Source organism: Homo sapiens, chromosome 9 (genome assembly GCF_000001405.40).
Source record: "Homo sapiens chromosome 9, GRCh38.p14 Primary Assembly".
NCBI lineage: Eukaryota > Metazoa > Chordata > Mammalia > Primates > Hominidae > Homo > Homo sapiens.
The window spans coordinates 67,136,181-67,155,871 of NC_000009.12; the positions used below are offsets into that span (position 1 = coordinate 67,136,181).

The following is a 19,691-nucleotide window of genomic DNA, read 5'->3' on the forward strand; positions in this document are numbered from 1 at the left end:
CTTTGGGCATTGTTTGGAGCTTCTGGTTGCCAGAGGTCCTGTAGGATCACATCTTAGATCAAGGCAGGCCTACCTTCCAGAGCTGCAGAACACTGGGTACTGAGCTGGTCATCCTCACCCTTTCTCTCTTCTCTTCTCTTCTCTTCTTTCCTCTCCTTCCTCTCATCTCCTCTATCCCTTCCCCTCTGTGGATCCTTACCCTCCAGCTCCTTGGGTTGTGGCACCAAAAACGTGGCTGGATCTGGTACCCAAGCTAATGTGGTAGAGGAAAATAATTAGTGAAAACCATCAGCACACTCCCTCTGTTCTGGCTTCTTTGTGCATTTTAACAGTGGAGTCTGGAAATAATAGTCCCACTTCAGCTATTTAACCCAAGACTGACTGGAATGCTAGGAATGTCAAATCAGGTAGGGCAGAATTTTGTCATCAGAGCAAGCAAATGTCAGGTGAACTGGAAGACAAAGCAGGACGTAGGTAAGAATGCAGATTCTGAGTCAAATCAGTTGGGTTCAAATACTGGCTTCATTTGCTAGCTGTATGAACTTGGACTAGCTGATTAACCACTTTGTACCTTGTTTCTTCATCTATATAGTAGGTGTTATTATAGAACATACATTATAGGATTATTGTGAAAATGAAAACAAAATAATCTATAAATTAGTGATAGATCGGAGGTCATCAGTAAATTGATGAATGGATAAGAGTAGATGCCTGATTGCAGAGGACTGAGGAGAGGAAATGAGTTAATGAAAAGGAGAGAGCAAATGATGAATACTTTCTGTAGAAGTCGGGATGCTTAGAAAAAGAGAGTGGGACAGCAGTAGCAAGAGGGACATCGGGCAGGAGACAGTGTGAAGTGGAAGCTAGAGCGACTAGAGCCTGGTCACTGCCAGGGATGCTGGTGGAACTCCCATGCCCATCAACAGCTTGGAGACAGAAGAAACTCACAGAGTAGCTGAGGGGCAACGTCCCAGAGGGATGGCAGGGAAAAGGATCCAGAACACAGAAGACACTGAAAAACAGTGATGTTTTCTGAAACAGGAGGAAAATAGCTAATTATATACGCTTTATTTTAAATTTCTGAAAGGGAGTTTATAGCTGTTTCTTATCTACTTGATGTTCAGAAGATTCAAGCTCTGTGATATGAGTGATGAAGGATCAGGTGCTGTGGCTCATACCTGTAATCCCAACACTATGGTAGGCTGAGGCAGGCAGATCCCTTGAGTGCAGGAGTCTGAGACCAGCCTGGGCAACACAGTGAGACCCCTGTCTCTACAAAAAAATACAAAAATTACCTAGTTGTAGTGGTGTGTGCCTGTAGTCCCAACTACTCGGAAAACTAAGGAAGATTGCTTGAGTCTGGAAGATCGAGGCTGCAATGAGCTGTGATCGAGCCAGTGCACTCCAGCCTGGGTGACAAAGCAAGAGCCTGTCTCAAAAACAAACAAACAAACAAAAAAGTGATAAGGGAAAAGTGGAATTAAGGTAGGAAATGTTTATGTGTGTGTAGTAGAGGATGTGGAATGGAAAAAGATTTTGACAGGGAACAACAAGAGTCCCTAGTAATAGTACATTTCTACACTGGAAACACCTGCCCAGACCACTTAAATCCGAACCTCAAGAGAGTAGGAACTAAGCAGTATGTTAAAGAATCCACCTGATGATTCCCATATTCATTCAAGGCTAAGGACCATTGTCCTCGTAGCATACAGACCCCAGGATGGAGACCATGAATAGGGACCACACCCGCACAGCTGGGGGGTTTTCCCCAGCAATAGTCAGCTGTTTGCAGAACCTGTGAAGGCAACTGAGAAGACTGACCTAGAATTAGCATCTGCAGGTATGCCGACATTGAGGATTTGGCTACATAAATGCTAACAAATTGGCAAAAGAGTCTGGAAAAAAAGGTACCATGCTGTTTGGGCAATGTGGAGAGGACAATTAGATCAAGAGAGGCTGATAATGAAAATCAGAAAGAGTCAGCATGTCAAAGAAGCTATAGTGTGGGAGTGAGAGATCTGGGAATATCTAGAGGTGTACAGTCAACAGAGAGTTTAAATAAGATTTCAAAGATGGTGCCCCCATCCCAGGTGGTGATGAGGTTGGCCATGGGAATGAGGCTGAAGTGAAGCAGCTGGAGCTCATTTGCATCAGGGAACTTGAAGTCAAAGGATCTTATTGGTATTCCTCAAGGATGTTCATATTGTGGCTTTGGGATAGAGGAGATGGTGATAAGTGTAAGGGAATGACTCGGAGTTTAGAAAATGAATTACAATGGCCAGGAAGGGTAGAGGGAGCTATAGTCAAATGATATTTAAGAGAAGAGATAACTTTCTCATTGTGTTAGTTCAGTTACTTTTGTGAGGAGGTGCAATGTTATGAAATCAAAGGAGATTGGTGAAAATGTATCCAGACCCCACCACAAATAAGATGAGGGGAAATGAGGAAACTGCATTCCTGAGTGTTACAAGGGCAGGGGTGTCCAAAAGGAAGACCTGAGTTTTAATCAAGGTGTAGATCAGTGTCTGACACCCAATATAACTGAGTATTTATTGTGTACCAGGTGAGATTTTTAGAATTTTAGCTGCATTCTATTATTTACTTTTTCATCATTAACTTGGGATGAAGAAATACAACTTTAGAGAGGCTCAGTAATGAGCTCATGTCACACAAGCAGAGCCTGTACCAGAAACCTTGGGCTGCCCACCTGGGGAGCCAGTCTCAATTTCTAGGCTACACCAGAATATTCTCAGATAAGATTAAAGTAGTCTTTTTTCTTCCTTCTTTCCTCCCCTCAACCTCATCCCCCTTCCCTCTCTCCTTTCTTTTTCCTTTCCCTCCCTTCCCTTCCCCTCCCCTCCTTTTCCCTTCCCTTCTTTATGAGGGTCAAAGAGTGCACAGAAAAAAAACTGTGGGGAAGGAAGAAGAGTAGTGGGGAGTGCATGGGCGGATGGGAGTGTAGAGAGCCCAGAAAAGGACAGATTGATCTGAGGATCAACGGCATACGATTTGAAGACATGTCCGGGGATGATAGGGATGAGAGGCCTGGGGGAATGGCTGCTCTCGGGTCTCTGATTGGAATTCTGGAGTGATGTGGTTTTGCTGCCATCCCAGCCCAGAACGTGTCTCTCTTCAGGGTTCCACACAGAAACATTAATCCCTAACTGTTTGGCACGCTGTGGATTCTATGGATTCTGTCTCCCTGGTGGGAGTGAGGGCGATGATCAGGCACAGATGTTCCCCCTCAGGTTTGGAATTTATCAGTGAGGACGAATTTAGTGCTGGGCAAAATGCATTTCCTGCCTTTTAAAGGAATATGGATTTGCTCAGCTGAGGACTCCAGGGCACTTTCATGCAGAAGGGGCAGGAGACTTAGTTCCAGGCCCAAGTTCTTTTCCCTCTGAGTCATAGGAACCCCCTCCTCCTTTCTAGTCCCTCTGGCATTTTGTCCTCTAAAGAAATCTGAACCCAAGTGGTTGGTCCTAAAACACTATCACAAACAGAGAACCAACCGAGAGAGGGAGAAAGGATGAAAAGGAGATGCAGGTGAGAGGGGCGAGGGGCAGGGTGCTGGTGCAGTTCACACCAGAAGGAAGGAAGGAAGGAAGGAAGGGAGGAAGGGGCAGAAGGGGGGAGGGGGGAAGGGGGAGGGAGAAGGGAGGAGTGGGAGAGGGGAGTGGGGGAGGGAGGGAGGGAGGGAAGGAAGGGAAGGAAGGAAGTCTGAATGTTTTCATCTCACCCCACCCTTCTCCAGGCTGGAGGCTGCAGAACTCGACTAGACTCATTTCTTTCTATTTATAATTTGCTATGTCATTTTAAAATTTAATTTTTAATTTATCTTCCCATTTAAACTTAATTTGGGATTGAATTTGCTTTGGTTTTGCTTTCTGCTTTTTTCCTCCTGATTTTAGCTTTAGTCACCAGTTACTTCTTATTATTGACATTTTACTTTGTATGCTGAAGGCTAATTTTCTACCTTCATTCAAAGTCTGAACCCTGCAGCGATGCCAAATAATACGGAGAAGTCTGATTGTCCTTTATAAAAACAGCAAAACTTTTTAAGTTAAATCACATTCACCTTGAAAGAAATCATGTGCTCAATAAACCCTGAGAACTGCGGCCCCAGGGACTCACCGTGCCCACATTTTAGTTGTATTTTCACATGCAGATTAATGAATGTGACTAACATCTCATAACTCGTATTTTAAAATGTAATACAGTATTTAATATACATTGCATAGGAAGACTGAACCGTGGCTTACGTTGATGAGTACTGTGAGAAACAAATTCTACATTGGGGTGAAAATGAATAAAATTAGAAGTTGGGACTGAGAAGGACTGCAAGCTGCTGTGAGCAAGTGAACAGGAAACTGACCCTCTGCAGACTTGAGTAGGACCAGACACAACTCTTCTAGAAAGACAGAGTAGGAAAACATCTTCCTTTTTCAAAGTGTATGTAGTTAGAGCCCCCCACCCAATGCATTTTCTTCCATTATTACCTATTTTTTAATATTCTATTTTTCAATCTAATTTCCCTTTTCCAGAGTGGAAAAACAACATTTAACTCTGGGAGAGTTTTAGTGTAATTTTGAAATCTGTTAAGCTTGCTGAAAGTTAAAAAGAAGGGAACATATTTTAAAATTTACATTTTGCTGCGTGGTTTCTGTGGTATGTGTAGGCCTGTTGGCTATGAAACACCCAGCTGCTATCACCTTTCAAACTCCTTTGTGAATTTATTAGAGCAAGACCCAAGAAACAAAAACAAAACCTTGTCTTCCTTGTTTTCTTTCAACCTTGCTTCATCCCAAAGTGTACTTGAAATGGAAATCATTTGAATTTTCCACAGTGCATTATGTTTACTGATATCTATACATCTTCCCTCAGATAAGATCCTAGGAGTAATCACCATTACCTCCATTTTGCAAATGAAGATGGGAAATTCAAGGGGGATGAGTGATTTACATCATACTTGGAATTGTGACAGGTCTTGAACTCTGGTTTATTTAGATCTTCAAGTTAAAAACCCTTCCCCCCAACCCTGCCTCACCACAGAATCCAGCACTGCCTCCCTCAGTTTATAAGTAGGTGACATGTGGACAGAAAGATTCTGGAAACTCCTGGTTTCTCAGGGTGGCAGGATTTTCTACTGGAAGTTTCTCACAGGCCGGTCCTTGTGTGGTTTGCAAAGTGAGCCCACAGCACTGACTATGGGGAGGAAGACGGGGACAACAGCTCGGTGGGAAATGAAAGCAGCAGAGAATTCTGACTGTCCTCCATCTACCCCATGGCTGTCCTGCAGCTGCAGGACTCTGTTGGACAGTTCCAGTGGCCCCTGTTGTTCTCCCAGTTGCTCCAACTTGGAAGACGGAATCCCAGAGGACAGGTTGCTATTGGGCCTCTAAGCTCCTCACAGCACTGAGGACCTACAGAAAGTTCAGTGACAGGAAAGTCTGAGCCCCACCGAGATGATATTAAAGATGCAGATTGCTATTCTGTGTTTAACTGAATCTTCAAGGTGTGAATGTCAAGCTGAAAATGACATGCCAATATTAAGACATTAGACCAACTCAGTTTGTGATTTTAAAAATTATACCATTTTTTGTTTATCCATTCCACTCATCAGTGGACATTTGGGTTATTTCCACATCTTGGCTATTGTGGATAATGCTGCAGTGAACATAGGAGGGCCAATATTTCTTTAACATCTTCATTTTATATTGGGGGGGTGTATATACCCGAAAGTAAGATTGCTGGATCATATGATAGTTCTATTTTTAATCTTTTGAGGATTTGCCATAATGTTTTCCATTGCAGCTGCACCATTTACATTCCCATCAATGGTGCAAAAGGGGTTCCTTTTTTTCACATCCTTGCCAACACTTGCTATCTCTTTCGAAATAAATTTCAGTTAAACAAGTTCTAGCGATCTGCTGTACAAAACTGTGCCTATAGTTAATGGTACTGTATTGTTTAAGATGATAGATTTCATGTTGAGTTTCTTACAATAAAAATAATTATGCCATAAAATATGCATAAGACTTTTTCAATGAATGTAATACTCAAAATCTGCAATGGAAATGCTTCTTAGCAACAAGGGACCAATAGGAGGATTATATCCTTTCATTCTTCAGCTATACTTAAAGTGGGTATTTAGAGTTGAAAAATAATCAGTGTATTTTCACTGTTTTTATTTGGAGTCACTACACAAACAGCTATAAAATTTTGAAGAAAAATAGGCTTATGCAGAAGTATAGAGAGGAAAGATTACATACATCCACAGACCTGACTCCTAGCAAGCGCAACTTGTAAAGTATGAAACAGCTTATATGTTACGAGTGTAATTATAAATTGGCAAAATGTCCTTTTTATCACACTCCAGTACATTTTTATTGCTTTCAGCTTGCTCAAGGTTTTATATTGCTCAGGATTTTTCTCTGAAATGTACTTGGAGGAGAGAGCTATACATCGTAAAGCCATACACTATCTTAGAAACCCTTACCTCCTGAACCACTTCTTCTGGCACAGGCTTTATCCTTTTCCTTTTCTTGTTAAGTCCACAGAACCATCTCAGGGCAAAATGGTGAAGTGGGCCAACGTAGTCTTTTCTAGTTCTCTGTGTGTTTCACCCATTCACCGATCTGAATTTCTTCGGACCCCGTCTGAGTCGGTTGTCCTCAGGAGTCGTGTAAACTCTCTGGGCCCCAGCCTGTGCGCTCCTTGTTTCCTAGTCCAGGGAGTGCCGGTGTTCTGGTTTAATAAACATCCTGGACAAATGAATGAAAAAGGCACTAACTGATAAGAATCCCCATAAAAGGCTATTTAAACTTTAATAATGAACTTTAAAAGGCTTGTAGGCCCAAAACAATGAGTATTTTGATGGTGACAACTCAGATGTGAGAAATGGAGGTGATACCTTGAGAGAAAGTGACTGCAGTAGTCCCCAAATCCCTGGTGGATGCCAGAAACTGCAAACAGTGCTGAACCCTATATGTACTATGTTTTTTCTTATACATACACACCTGTGATGAAGTTGCTTTTATAAATGAGGCACAGAGATTAACAACAAGAACCACTAATAAAATAGAAAATTGTAGCAATATGCCAGCATCACTACTTGTGCACTTTGGAGCCGTTGTTGATTGAAATAAGAGTGATTTGAACACAAGCACTGTGATACCATGACAACCCACCTGATAACCCAGAGGGCTACTTAAGTGACTGATAGGTGGGTTGCTTATAGGGCATGGATATGCTGGACAAAGGGATGATTCACGTCCCATGCAGGACAGAGCAGGGTGACACGTGTTTTCATCACATTACTCAGGATAGTGAGCAATTTAAAACTTATGAATTGCTTATTTCTGAAATTTTCTATTTAATATTTTCAGGCTGTGATTAACCACGGGTAATTGAAACTATGGAAAGCGAGCGAAACTGCAGATAAGGGGAGACGACTGTATTTCTGATGTACTTCGAATTATACTTTAAAATTTGTCTATAGAAAATTGTTTGTGTTTATTCTTACAGACCTGTGGAACCAATTTTTAAATCTCCTAGGCAGGCTAAAATAATTGCTTTTGCTATCTCATTTTTTATAAACATTTATTTGTGAGATAAATCTTTACTTTTATCTTACAAATAAAAAAGATAAAGAGATAAAGAATATAATAAAATATATTTGCACTTCTAAAATTTGTATTATTAAGCTTTAAATAAAATACAGGAAAATAGTTCTACTATACTAAACTAAGGAATTTTCTTCTAAGCCTCAAATCTAAAAATCTATAAACTAATCTGAAAGAAAAGTAATGAAAATCAGGGCCAGGTACAGTGGCTCATGCCTGTAATCGCAGCACTTTGGGAGGCCAAGGCAGGTGGATCATCTGAACTTAGTAGTTCCAGACCAGCCTGGCCAACATGGTGAAACCCAGTCTCTACTAAAAATACAAAAATTAGCTGGGCGTGGTGGCAGGCATCTATAATCCCAGCTACTCGGGAGGCTAAGGCAGGAGAATCTCTTGAACCCAGGAGGCGGAGGTTGCAGTGAGCTGAGATCCCACCACTGCACTCCAACCTGGGCAAAGAGCGAGACTGTCTCAAAAAAAAAAAAAAAAGAATAAAAGAAAATATCAATATTTCTATATAAACTTGGGAATCATGCATTTCAGACAAATTTGGGTGAAGGTGATTATGGTTGTCATGACAATGAAATACTGACCATCTCTGAGCAAAGGGCTTAAGGAAGTATGTGGGAAGTGCTCAAAAACATAAGCTATGATTATGATGATGATGATGATTTGAATTTGAGAATATAATCCCATTTTCTTTGGGCTATTCAAAAACTAGCAAAAAGTCAATTAGTTAAAAAAATTTCATTTCAGAAATTAGTTTCTGTGGCCTAGAGGAAAAATACACTGTGTATTCTCATCAATCACTGATTTGAATGGACACTTAAAATACACCTCCATGTGCAGGTAAAAAGAAGTTACTCAATGGTGAGCAACCTTGTGGACTAGAAATACAGTCATCCCTGGATATCTGCGGGAGATTCATTCCAGGAGCCCCCCACCCCCAAAGATACCAACGTTCATGGATGCCCAAGTCCCTTATATAAAATGGTGTAGTTTTGTATGTAACCTTTGTACAGCCTCCTGTATACCTAAATCATCTCCAGATTACTAATAATACGATGCAAATGCTGTAAAAATAGTCGTTATACTATATTGTTTAAAGAATAATGGCAAGAAAAAAATGGTTGTGCATGTTCAACAAAGTCACAGCCATCCATTTTTTCCCCACTATTCTTAATCACAGTTGGATTCATGAGTGCAGAACACATGGATATGGAGGGCTGCTGAGTGTACTATATCCCTAGAAAGTTATTCTGAAATAGAGATAAGTAAGCGTAAATCTTACTCATATTTACAGGGTTGCAGCATTGTTTATAAGAGTGAAAATTGACAACTCTCTAATATCTAGAGGTTTATCTATCTAGAACAGGAAGATCATTTTAAATATATACCATCCAAAACTATGCAGATCTTTTTTTATATATACTTTAAGTTCTAGGGTACATGTGTACAACGTAGCAGGTTTGTTACATATGTATACATGTGCCATGTTGGTATGCTGCACCCATTAACTCCTCATTTACATCAGGTATATCTCCTAATGCTATCCCTCCTCCCACCACCCCACGACAGGCCCCAGTGTGTGATGTTCCCCATCCTGTGTCCAAGTGTTCTCATTGTTCAATTCCCACCTATGAGTGAGAACATGTGGTGTTTGCTTTTCTGTCCTTGCGATAGTTTGCTCAGAATGATGGTTTCCAGCTTCATCCATGTCCCTACAAAGGACATGAACTCATCATTTTTTATGGCTGCATTGTATTCCATGGTGTATAGGTGCCACATTTTCTTAATCCATTCTGTCATTGATGGACATTTGGGTTGGTTCCAAGTCTTTGCTATTGCAGATAGTGTCACAATAAACACACGTGCATGTGTCTTTATAGCAGCATGATTTATAATCCTCTGGGTATATACCCAGTAATGGGATGACTGGGTCAAATGGTATTTCTGGTTCTAGATCCTTGAGGAATTGCCACACTGTCTTCCACAATGGTTGAACTAGTTTACAGTCCCACCAACAGTGCAAAAGTGGTCCTATTTCTCCACATCCTCTCCAGCACCTGTTGTTTCCTGACTTTTTAATGATCACCATTCTAACTGGCGTGAGATGGTATCTCATTGTGGTTTTGATTTGCATTTCTCTGATGGCCAGTGATGATGGGCATTTTTTCATGTGTCTGTTGGCTGCATAAATGTCTTCTTTTGAGAAGTGTCTGTTCATATCCTTTGCCCACTTTCTGATGGGGTTGTTTGATTCTTCTTGTAAATTTGTTTAAATTCTTTGTAGATTCTGGATATTAGCCCTTTGTCAGATGGGTAGATTGCAAAAATTTTCTCCCATGTTGTAGGTTGCCTGTTCACTCTGATGGTAGTTTCTTTTACTCTGCAGAAGCTCTTTAGTTTAATTAGATCCCATTTGTCAATTTTGGCTTTAGTTGCCATTGCTTTTGGTGTTTTAGACATGAAGTCCTTGCCCACGCGTATGTCCTGAGTGGTATTGCCTAGGTTTTCTTCTAAGGTTTTTATGGTTTTAGGTCTAACATTTAAGTCTTTAATCCATCTTGCATTAATTTTTATATAAGATGTAAGGAAGGGATCCAGTTTCAGCTTTCTACATATGGCTAGCCAGTTTTCCCAGCACCATTTATTAAATAGGGAATCCTTTCCCCATTTCTTGTTTTTGTCAGGTATGTCAAAGATCAGATGGTTGTAGATATGCGGCATTATTCCTGAGGGCTCTGTTCTGTTCCATTGGTCTATATCTCTGTTTTGGTACCAGTACCATGCTGTTTTGGTTACTGTAGCCTTGTAGTATAGTTTGAAGTCAGGTAGCGTGATGCCTCCAGCTTTGTTCTTTTGGCTTAGTATTGTCTTATCAATGAGGGCTCTTCTTTGGTTCCAGATGAACTTTAAAGTAGTTTTTTCCAATTCTGTGAAGAAAGTCATTGGTAGCTTGATGGGGATGGCATTGAATCTATAAATTACCTTGGGCAGTATGGCCATTTTCACAATATTGATTCTTCTTATCCATGAGCATGGAATGTTCTTCCATTTGTTTGTGTCCTCTTTTATTTGGTTGAGCAGTGGTTTGTAGTTCTCCTTGAAGAGGTCCTTCACATCCCTTGTAAGTTGGATTCCTAGGTATTTTATCCTCTTTGAAGCAATTGTGAATGGGAGTTCACTCATGATTTGGCTCTCTGTTTGTCTGTTATTGGTGTATAAGAATGCTTGTGATTTTTGTACATTGATTTTGTATCCTGAGACTTTGCTGAAGTTGTTTATCAGCTTAAGGAGATTTTGGGCTGAGACAATGGGGTTTTCTAAATATACAATCATGTCGTCTGCAAACAGGGACAATTTGACTTCCTCTTTTCCTAACTGAATACTCTTTATTTCTTTCTCCTGCCTGATTGCCCTGGCCAGAACTTCCAACACTATGTTGAATAGGAGTGGTGAGAGAGGGCATCCCTGTCTTATGCCAGTTTTCAAAGGGAATGCTTCCAGTTTTTGCCCATCCAGTATGATATTGGCTGTGTGTTTGTCATAAATAGCTCTTATTATTTTGAGATAGGTCCCATCAATACGTAATTTATTGAGCGTTTTAGCATGAAGGTTGTTGAATTTTGTCAAAGGCCTTTTCTGCATCTATTGAGAGAATCATGAGGTTTTTGTCATTGGTTCTGTTTATATGCTGGATTATGTTTATTGATTTGTGTATGTTGAATCAGCCTTGCATCCCAGGGATGAGGCCCACTTGATCATGATGTATAAGCTTTTTGATGTGTTGCTGGATTTGGTTTGCCAGTATTTTATTGAGGATATTTGCAGCGATGTTCATCACGGTTATTGGTCTAAAATTCTCTTTTTTTGTTGTGTCTCTGCCAGGCATTGGTATCAGAATGATGCTGGCCTCATGAAATGAGTTAGGGAGGATTCCCTCTTTTTCTGTTGATTGGAATAGTTTCAGAAGGAATGGTATCAGCTCCTCCTTATACCTCTGGAAGAATTTGGCTGTGAATCTGTCTGGTCCTGGACTTGTTTTGGTTGGTAGGCTATTAATTATTGCCTCAATTTTAGAGCCTGTTATTAGTCTATTCAGGGATTCAACTTCTTCCTGGTTTAGTCTTGGGAGGATGTATGTGTTGAGGAATTTATCCATTTCTTCTAGATTTTCTAGTTTATTGGCATAGAGGTGTTTATAGTATTCTCTGATGGTAGTTTGTATCTCTGTGGGATTGGCGGTGATACCCCCTTTATCATTTTTATTGCATCTATTTGATTCTTCTCTCTTTTCTTCTTTATTAGTTTTGCTACCGGTCTGTCAATTTTGTTGATCTTTTCCAAAAACCAGTTCTTGGATTCATTGATTTTTTGAAGGATTTTTTTGTGTCTCCATCTCCTTCAGTTCTGCTCTGATCTTAGTTATTTCTTGCCTTCTGCTAGCTTTTGAATGTGTTTGCTCTTGCTTCTCTGGTTGTTTCAATTGTGATGTTAGGGTGTCAATTTTAGATCTTTCCTGCTTTCTTTTGTGGGCATTTAGTGCTGTAAATTTCCCTCTACACACTGCTTTAAATGTGTCCCAGAGATTCTGGTATTTTGTGTCTTTGTTCTCATTGGTGTCAAAGAACATCTTTATTCCTTCATTTCTCAATGTACCCAGTAGTCATTCAGGAGCAGATTGTTCAGTTTCCATGCAGTTGAGCGGTTTTCAGTGAGTTTCTTAATCCTGAGTTCTAGTTTGATTGCACTTTTACATTTGCTGAGGAGTACTTTACTTCAAACTATCTGGTCAGTTTTGGAATAAGTGCGATGTGGTGCTGAGAACAATATATTCTATTGATTTGGGGTGGAGAGTTCTGTAGATGTCTATTAGGTCTGCTTGGTGCAGAGCTGAGTTCAATTCCTGGATATCCTTTTTAACTTTCTGTCTTGTTGATCTGTCTAATGTTGACAGTGGTGTGTTAAAGTCTCCCATTATTATTGTGTGGGAGTCTAAGTCTCTGTAAGTCTCTAAGGACTTGCTTTATGAATCTGGGTGCTCCTGTATTGGGTGCATATATGTTTAGGATAGTTAGCTGTTCTTGTTGAATTGATCCCTTTACCGTTATGTAATGGCCTTCTTTGTCTCTTTTGATCTTTGTTGGTTTAAAGTCTGTTTTATCCGAGACTAGGATTGCAACCCCTGCTTTTTTTTTATTTTCCATTGCTTGGCAGATCTTCCTCCATCCCTTTATTTTGAGCCTATGTGTGTCTCTGCAGGTGAGATGGGTTTCCTGAATACAGCACACTGATGAGTCTTGACTCTTTATCCAATTTGCCAGTCTGTGTCTTTTAATTGGAGCATTTAGCCCATTTACATTTATGGTTAATATTGTTATGTGTGAATTTGATCCTATCATTATGATGTTAGCTGGTTATTTTGCTCGTTAGTTGATGCAGTTTCTTCCTGGCATCAATGGTCTTAAAAATTTGGCATATTTTTGCAGTGGCTGGTACCGGTTGTTCCTTTCCATGTTTAGTGCTTCCTTCAGGAGCTCTTGTAAGGCAGGTCTGGTGGTGACAAAATCTCTCAGCATTTGCTTGTCTGTAAAGGATTTTATTTCTCCCTCACTTATGAAGCTTAGTTTGGCTGGTTATGAAATTCTGGGTTGAAAATTCTTTTCTTTCAGAATGTTGAATATTGGCCCCCACCTCTTCTGGCTTGTAGAGTTTCTGCCAAGAGATCCGCTGTTAGTCTGATGGGCTTCCCTTTGTGGGTAACCCGACCTTTCTCTCTGGCTGCCCTTAATATTTTTTCCTTCATTTCAAATTTGGTGAATCTGACAATTATGTGTCTTGGATTTGGTCTTCTCGAGGAGTATCTTTGTGGCATTCTCTGTATTTCTTGAATTTGAATGTTGGTCTGCCTTGCTAGGTTGGGGAAGTTCTCCTGGATAATATCCTGCAGAGTGTTTTCCAACTTGGTTCCTTTCTCCCTGTCACTTTCAGGTACACCAATCAGACGTAGATTTGGTCTTTTCACATAGTCCCATATTTCTTGGAGGCTTTGTTCGTTTCTTTTTACTCTTTTTTCTCTAAACTTCTCTTCTTGCTTCATTTCATTCATTTGGTCTTCAGTCACTGATACCCTTTCTTCCAGTTGATCAAATCAGCTACTGAAGCTCGTACATGCGTCACGTGGTTCTTTTGCCATGGTTTCTGCTCCATCAGGTCATTTAAGGACTTCTCTACACTGTTTATTCTAGTTAGCCATTCGTGTAATCTTTTTTGAAGGTTTTTAGCTTCTTTGCAGTGGGTTCGAACATCCTCCTTTAGCTCAGAGAAGTTTGTTATTATCGATCATCTGAAGCCTTCTTTTTTCTTTTTTTTTTAATTATACTTTAAGTTTTAGGGTACATGTGCACAGATCATCTGAAACCTTCTTCTCTCAACTCATCAAAGTCATTCTCCATCCCGCTTTGTTCCATTGCTGATGAGGAGCTGCATTCCTTTGAAGGAGAAGAGGTGCTCTGATTTTTAGAATTTTCAGCTTTTCTGTTCTGGTTTCTCCCCTTCTTTGTGGTTTTATCTACCTTTGGCCTTTGATGATGGTGACGTACAGATGGGGTTTTGGTGTGGATGTCCTTTCTGTTTGTTAGTTTTTCTTCTAACAGTCAGGACCCTCAGCTGCAGGTCTGTTGGAGTTTGCTGGAGGTCCAGTCCAGACCCTGTTTGCCTGGGTATCACCAGCAGAGGCTGCACAACCGCAAATATTGCAGAACAGCAAATGTTGCTGCCTGGTCGTTCCTATGGAAGCTTCGTCTCAGAGGGACACCCTGCCGTATGAGGTGTCAGTCTGCCCCTACTTGGAGGTGCCTCCCAGTTAGGCTACTCGGGGGTCAGGGACCCACTTGTGGAGGCAGTCTGTCCATTCTCAGATCTCAAATTCCGTGCTGGGAGAACCACTACTCTCTTCAAAGCTGTCAGACAGGGACGTTTAAGTCTGTAGAAGTTTCTGCTGCCTTTTATTCAGCTATGCCCTGCCCCCAGAGGTGGAGTCTACAGAGGCAGGCAGGCCTCCTTGAGCTGTGGTGGGCTCTACCCAGTTTGAGCTTCCTGGCTGCTTTGTTTACCTACTCAAGCCTCAGCAATGGCGGGCGCTCCTCCCCTAGTCTCGCTGCTGCCTTGCAGTTCGATCTTACAAAGTATTAGTGAGACCCAAATTCATAGAAAGATTTCCATGACATATATCATTTAAGTGAAAAAAGAAGTTGGAGAAAACGTGCACTGTGCAAAAATAAAGTACGTGTGAATATAATGTTAAAGAACTCAAAGTGCATTCACTGATCTGGTTATTCTAGGGAGGAGAACAGATTGGCAAAAGATGACTTACTCATTTTATTCCATATATTTAGATATTTGAATTTTTACAAGGACACATTCATGTACATAAATACATAGGCTGTTAGGATTGCTCATGCCTGTAGTCCCATGCTTTTAGAAACCAAAATGGGAAGAGTGCTTGAGGTCAGCAGTTTTCATTTGTTTTGTTTTTTGAGACGGAGTCTCCCTGTGATGCCCAGGCTGGAGTGCAGTGGTGCGATCTTGGCTCACCGCAACCTCTGCCTCCCAGGTTCAAGCGATTCTCCTGCCTCAGCCTCCCGAGTAGCTGGGACTACAGGCATGCGCCACCATGCCCAGCTAATTTTTATATTTTTAGTAGAGATGTGGTTTTACCATATTGGCCAGGCTGGGCTCGAACTCCGAGGTCAGGAGTTTTAGACCAACCAGGGCAACATAGCAAGACCTCATCTCAAGAACAACAACAAAAAATTAAAATTAGCTGGGCATAGTGGCACACACCTGTAGTCTCAGCTGCTCAGGTGGCTAATGCGGGAGGATAGCTTAAGCCCAGGAGTTCAAAGCTGCACTGAGGTATGATTGTGTTGCTGCATTCCAACCTGGGTGATAGAATGAAACCCTGTCTCTAAAACAATAAAAAATATGTAAGTAATTAAAAATAATGATAATGAACACTTTGTGTGTACTATGTGTCAGGCACTGTTCCTCACACCATCACTCTGAAATATATACTATTTTCATAATTTTATGGATGAGGAAACTGAGGCACTGAGGATTTTTGTCCAAAGTCCCACCTTTAGTGAGTGGTTCCAGAGTCTTTATTATTAACCCCCAAGATCTTCTGAGTGATTTTATCTTAAAATAGTTAGGAACCTGAGGTTAGGCAGATCTGGGTGAGAATCCAGCTCTGTCATTGACAGGCTGCTCAACTCTGAGCAGGCCATATTGAAAGGTGGCATCTGATCTAAAAATTGAATCATAGGAGAAGTCAGCCTCGTGGAACCTTGGTGAGCTCACTTGCTAATCTGTAAAATGGTAAAGAATAACTGCCTTATGGGATTACTGTGGTGGGAGGAGCTAGCCCGGAGGAGCCTTGGGTAAAGAGGTCCCAAGTACGCTTTGATTCCAAAATCCCAGAATTCCGATTTTTACATCTATTTAGAAACTCAAAAATGTACTCCAGAGTTATAAATAGGACCATGTAAGCATTCTGAGGTATAGGGGAGAAATGTTTAGAAGAGTAAGTTCTGAATCATCCACACACCATCTAGAATTCCAGTTAGATATTCACTGGGTTTACTAAGTAAGCACATCTGGGAGACGAAGGTGGAAGGTAGCAGCTACAATTTTACGAACCTTAGTTTAATCATATCTTATAACCCACAAGGTACCAGGCATTGTGCTAGGCACTGGGGGTTCAGAGCATACCGTGAGAGAAGATAATGTTGAGAGATGGTCCATAAACAACTATTCAACAATTGCAACAGCAATTATAAAAGGAGTCATGATGTAGAGTGAATGGATGGGGGCTTGAAGGGACAGTAATCCTAGGGGGACGGAACAGAGAAGGTCAAAGTGAAGAAGTGATACTCAGTCTGAAAATTGAGTGGTAGAAGGAGCCAAACAGAGAAGATCTGGGGGAGGAACATTATGACACAAGAGACAGGAAGAGGAAAGCCTTGGAAACAGGGACCAGCTTGAGAGATTTAGGGGAATAAAAAGGTTCATTGTGACTGGAAATCAGCAAACACGTGGGAAGGGTGTGGGAGATGGAACCAGAGAGGGAGTGCTCGGAGTTTTGGGGGTCTTGTAAACCAAGGGCAGTGGAGACTGAGAACTGAGGAAAAGGGGTCAGGCTTGTTGGAGTGATATTGGTGATCACTGCAACATCAGTATCAGAATTGTGAGGAAAAAAGTCAAATCGTAAAAGGTTTAAAGTTAGTGAGTGTGGGAAAAGCAGAAGCAGTGGCTTTATATTTCTCTTTCCTGGAGAGAGGTGCCGAAGGCATTCAGGAGTAGAGGAAAGAAGGGTTGGAAGTTCCACATGGTTCACTCTAAGAAGGAGAGTTATTATGTATAGATGAGAGATAGATAGATAGATAGATACATATATACATACATACATATAGATAAATAGGTAGATTATGTACACATAGAAAGATAGACGATATATAGAAATAGAAGAAAAAATGCAGGCCAGCTGTTTATGGTTACGTTTCTAACAAATAATAAGATCAGTAGAAATAATCAACCTGCACCATTTTCTGACATGTGTTGTTAGAAAGTCGATATGTGGTGTCACATAACTGAGACCGGCACTGTAGCCAGTTCTTTGGCATTTCATTAAAAACATTATCTCTACCAGGTATCATTGTATATTGGTATTTTTCCATGTATCTATAATTTTTTAAACTACCCCAAAGTAGAGCCAGCATCATTTTAGAAGTAAATTTAAAACCTCTTTGCTAGGCATGCTGCTTGGAAAATCGAACATGGTAGGTTAGTCAGCCATGCCGTGGCTGTGATTCAGGCAGCCTGATCATATTTGCAGTGCTGCTCAAACAAGCAGCGCTCTCATCCTTCATTTCATGGTGATTCAGACTAAAATTACTCACAACTTATGAGGATCATTGTTAAATGGCTATTGAAGATTTTGATATTTGAAAATAATATCAACTAAAAGATAATATTTCTCAGAACAATTTGGAATTCTTGGTGTAGACTTGAGGATTTAGTAGGTTTTTTCCTAATTTTGATGAGAAGTACATCATAGTGTATACAAATATAAAACACAATTAGCCCCTGTGAAAGTCATGATTGGAGTGAAAATACAGAGTCATGATAGACATGTAATACATATATGTATTTTTCTGACACATACGTACCAGTAAAATACGTAGGTACCACTTTGATCAGCAAGAGACAGTTTATATTACTTTTCAATTTGTATAAGCTAAATTAGCTTTTCACTTATATTTATTTGCTTCTACTTTATTGCTCAAAGATGGATGAGATTTTATCTCAAAATTGCCTTCAGTAAGTCAAATTGGGTAAGATTAGTTTTCAAGAATATTAACCAACAATAGTGACCGTTATTAATGGGAAAGTGATTCTTTTGTAAAGCCTAACTTTAGAAAGTTTGCACTGAGAAACAGATTTTGATATTTGTTTTTATAGACACAGTACTTAGTTTTTGTCTTTTTTGATATTTTTCTCAGAAAAGTCATTCACATGGAGTGCTGTATGGACAGAATTCTGTTCCTCCAAAATATATATGTTGAAGCCTTAACCCTGAATGTGACTATATCTGAAGACAGGGCCTTTCAGGAGGTAATTAAGGTTAAATAAGGTCATAAGAGTAGGGCACTAATCCTGTAGGACGGTGGTCTTATAGGAAGAGAGGGGGAGAGAGAGAGAGAGAGCACTGCCATGTGAGGACACAGTGAGAAGGTGGTCGTCCACAAGCCAGGAAGAAAGCCCTCATCTGGCACCCTGGTCTTGGCCTTCCCAGCCTCCAGAGCTGTGTGAGAATAAGTGTCTATTATTTAAACCTCCCAGTCTGCAGTATTTTGTTATGACAGCCTCAACAGACTAAGGCAGGGTGCCTGACACCTAGCCAGACAAGTCCACTGTTTTCCACATTCTTTTGTGCCGTATTAATGATTAATAAGCCTCAACACATAACTTCAAAATAAATATTTGCAGAAAATAGATTCCTTTTGAAATTAATCCGCATATGTACCCGTAAATTATTCTCTGAACAAAATTTGCTACGTTATCTGTATAAACGATTCACCCAAATGCTTCTCTTTGTCTACCATTATCCCCTCCGTGTGAGGCCATTTGTTTCTAAACAGTAATATTTCATGTACCTCAGCCATTATCATGGGGAGCTACATTCTCTCTGTGGATTTTAAGTGAAGATGGAACAGAATGCAATCATTAGCTTTTAGAAGGAGCCAGTGTAGGCTGTGGGTTTCAGTCTTAGACCTGCGAGTTCAAAGCTTAAGATACTGAAATAACATATATTTTGGATAAGTGATACAAATAATTATTTTAAAGCTATAGTGTTAAATGGCAGAAAGGTAACTGTGAAGGCCATAAAATCCCTTTGGAAAGGTATGTAAGGGGGAATAAATCTACTAAGAGATTTGTAACCAGAAAAAAAGGCGTCATGCAGGCGGGGCTCCTGGGAGATACTAATAAAGGCGGAGCATTTGGGCAGGCCCCGTTCGCACAAACTCACCATCCATCCGACACGACCGCCTCCGCCTGCTCTCAGACAAGCTTCAGATCCACCTGCAGCTTCAAGACATGATTCTATTGCTTTACCTAAAATGGCAAAGGAAAATTTTTCTTCAAATTGTATTTGAGTTCAGTGACATTATAGCTCCAAGTCCCATTTTCTGAAAATAATCTTCATCCAGCCAGACTTGGAATGGAAAGAGAATTCACACAGAAAAGGAGAAAAAAGAGAGGAAACGTATCGAGTAAATGCTTACATGTGAAGCGCTGTCTGAAATGTTTTACATTTATCACATTTTATTTTCATGAAGACATATGGGAAAATGGAGGCGTAGCAGGCAACGTGTGTAAACGTCACTGTTTACTCATACTGACATGGGCTAAATGAAGATAGAATTAATGCCTCTGAGAGTTATTTATGTATATATAAGAGCTAATTACGTATTTTATCCCAAACATAGAGCAGCCAGCCAC

The 19,691-nt window shown here is 40.5% G+C and overlaps 1 pseudogene across 1 annotated transcript in view; it reads left to right on the plus strand.

Annotated features, from left to right (window-relative positions):
* CNTNAP3P2 (CNTNAP3 pseudogene 2) overlaps positions 1–19,691 on the plus strand; it is a 237,697-nt pseudogene that overhangs the window by 76,721 nt on the left and 141,285 nt on the right. The window lies entirely within an intron of this gene.